This window comes from Homo sapiens, chromosome 15 (genome assembly GCF_000001405.40).
Source record: "Homo sapiens chromosome 15, GRCh38.p14 Primary Assembly".
NCBI classification, from domain to species: Eukaryota; Metazoa; Chordata; class Mammalia; order Primates; family Hominidae; genus Homo; species Homo sapiens.
In genome coordinates, this window is record NC_000015.10 from 55,112,119 (window position 1) to 55,115,553 (window position 3,435).

The window sequence follows — 3,435 nt, forward strand, 5'->3', positions numbered from 1 at the left end:
AAATCTCTGAAAAATCACAGGTAACAGTAACACCAAAGTTGGGGAGACAGAGAAGAGTTTCAATTAAAAAAAAAAAGTTTTTTTCTGTGACATTGCTGAATTTGGTTTTCATATGATGTTCCAAATAAACACAACATTTGTACTGTTGACTAAACAGAGTCCCAACCAGACTGAACACTTATTGTGCACAAGGACGGAACATTTTAGGGCTCCAATTAATCTAACTTGACCAACTAGATAAATAACAGGCTACTAAATATTTGATTTAATATCATATAATTAGAAATATGGAATTGTTATGAAATATGCTGTTTGGTGTTATCTACTGTAGAAAACATAAATCACTAATATGAAATTTTGTGATACCCTCATTGAGGATAATAGCACAATCACGGCCAGAGGTAGCACAGCTTTGATTATCCTATTATCCTCTATGGTGGATTCAATCAAAAGAGAATGTAAAATTAGGAAGCATAACTCTGAAATGGAATAGTGAATCCTCCACATAAGAACCTAGATTGGCTGCCAGATGCAAATAGCTGGAGTGATGAATGTGAAAAGATTAGTGGTCCAGATAAACCCCTGGACGCTGTTACTTTATAGTGCAAATAAATTAGGTTTTCTATAATTAATGTAAGTAGAAGGAATTGGATTTGGCCTCTTTAAAATCTTCTTGGCTTTATTCCACTGAGAAGTCATATGTGCTTCCTTCAACAGCTCCCAGGAACCTGGGGCCCATCCCTAGCTTCTTGCAGTAGGGGTCCCTTTGCCAGCTGGACAGGACCCAGCCAAGCCCACCAGACTTTCTCTCACCCATGGCCTACCTCTGCTCCATGGAAAACACATACCTTCTCTCCCTCACCACCAACAAACTCCAGGATGCAGGCCAATTGCTAGGCAGTAACCCCTTTGCTGCCTCCATCAGCCAAGCAATCTATCTCTGTCCTCTCAGATTCCCTGGGCAGGGTCACCTCCCTGTCTCCTATGCCTGGCAGCAGCAGAGAGCACACAGCAAGTGCTCCAAGTAGTGCTGTTAAATCCCTGCATTAGCTGCTTCCCTTAGAAGCAGACACCGAGACAGTGACTCAAGGGCAAGTGTATTTAGAAGATGACCTCAGAAAATGCTGGTGGAGAGGTCGGAAGCCTAGGTGTGGCAGGTGCTGTGATGCAATGGCCAGGCCCCTCAGGGAGGAAGGCTGGAGTGGTACCAGAGGAGCCCCAGCTGTAGACCCGCTTTGCAGATTACCTTGGCTGAAGAAAACTGTCTTTCCCGAGATCAGGCCCTCTTCCAGGTACAGTCTGCACCCAATGGCTATTCATTGGGGTTATAAACGCCCATCTCTCACCCCAACTTGGGTCATTCTGAAGAGCCATTCCAGCCCTAGAGCTCCCCAAGAGGTCGGCTTAGGCCTCTATTTGGACTGCATTACAGCCCAATTTTTTCCCTCTGCCCCCTGCTGCCTCCCCCTCCCTTCCACAGGTGTTGATCCCAAAAGAAGGCCCCAGTAATCATCCTGCATGCTGCTTCCTGGTGAGCCCAACCTGTGACTACAGGACAGAGAAGGAAGCTGATACAGAGTATGTTATCAAGCAAATTCCACTATGGGTATCTGGAGCTCTATCCCACCAGAAAACTTTGAGAAACAGCACAGAACAAGTGCCTCAGAGTTATCCCATCCAAGGCATGAAGGGGTAGAGGTATTCACTAGCTGAGGACATAATTCCTTTACACAACTGGCTGGCTCACCCCATGCACAGACAGAGCAGGCTGCAGCTGCCACAGAAAGCCTCAGGCAAAAAGTCACTGGTTGGGTGGGAGTCGGGCTGGAGTGCATGGAAACAAGAGATGCCAATGGATCTGGGCAGGCCCTTATCGAGTCAGCTTCCAGCCACCTGCTCCAATTTAGGCCTGAGAGGAATCATCCTCCCAAACGAATGATGCCATGGGCCCAGAAGGAAGGGGGGACCAGAAATGAGAGAGTCTAAGAAATACCTACCACAGTAGAAGAGATCTGGGCTTGGAACACAAAGATTGGTCACACAGCAAGCATTTATTGAGTGAATAATACCTGCCAGACACTCTACTAAGCTATTCTCCCTCATGAACTCATTTAATCACAATTCTAATTCTATGGGTTATTTCTATGTAACAGAAGAGAAACTGAACCTTAAATGGGGGAACCTTCTGCCAGTTAGTAACTTAATCCCAAATCCAACACCAAAACCATATCCCAAAAAAAGGGATTTTTTTTAAGTAAATTTTTTTTCTTCAACTTTTAAGTTCAGGGGTACATGTGCAGGATGTGCAGGTTTGTTACATAGGTCAACATGTGCCATGGTGGTTTTATGCACAGATCAACAACACCTAGGTATTAAGCCCAGCATCCATTAGCTATTCTTCTTGATGCTCTCCCTACCCACCACCCCCACAGCAGGCCCTAGTGTGTATCGTTCCCCCTCACTATGTCCATGTGTTCTCATCATTCAGCTCCCAATTATAAGTGAGAATATGTGGTGCTTGGTTTTCTGTTCCTGCGTTAGTTTGCTGAGGATAACAGCTTACAGCTCCATCCATGTCCCTGCAAAGGACATGATCTCATTCCTTTTTATGGTTGCATAGTAGTCCATGGTGTACATGTACCACATTTTCTTTATCCAATCTGTTATTCATGGGCATTTGGGTTGATTCCATGTCTTTGCAGTTGTGAATAGTGCTTCAGTGAACATACACGTGCATGTGTCTTTACAATAGAATGATTTCTATTCCTTTGGTTATATACCCAATAATGAGACTGCTGGGTCAAATGATATTTCTGCTTCTAGATCTTTGAGGAAATTGCCTTTCCTTTTTCTCTGCAACCTCAACAGCATCTGTTGTTTCTTGACTTTTTAATAATTGCCATTCTGACTGGCATGAGATGGCTGTGCTGAAACCGTATTCTTAACCAGACTACAACTATCACATCTCTCTAGGAGCAAGAGATAGATTTCTCCAAAAAGGAATGTCTTTAGTGAGTCTTAGGAGCAAAAGGCACTATCCACAAAGCTAAGCATCATCCATGATTTCGGAGCTGGGCGTTCATTGCTCAGTTTATTCATTTGTTTTGTTTTTAATCTTCTCTATTACAAAAGTTGGAGTATGCCTGTGTATACTTCAAAACATCCAGCCATCTGGGAATACTTACATATTTGACATTAATTAATGCAATTAGTCTAACAAGCAAAAACTTTGGGAACTGGTCCATTTACAATCCCCAGTCTTTCCCAAGCTATTTGTAATCAGAGTTTAACATTTACATTTCTAAAGAAGCACCAAAACGCAACAGATACTAAATGCCAAAGAGAAGGTCACACCAAAAGGCAGATTTTTTAAGGAAAATGGAAGAAAGACAATTGAAAGTTCTAAAATCCACAAGGAGAATATAAAAATATAGG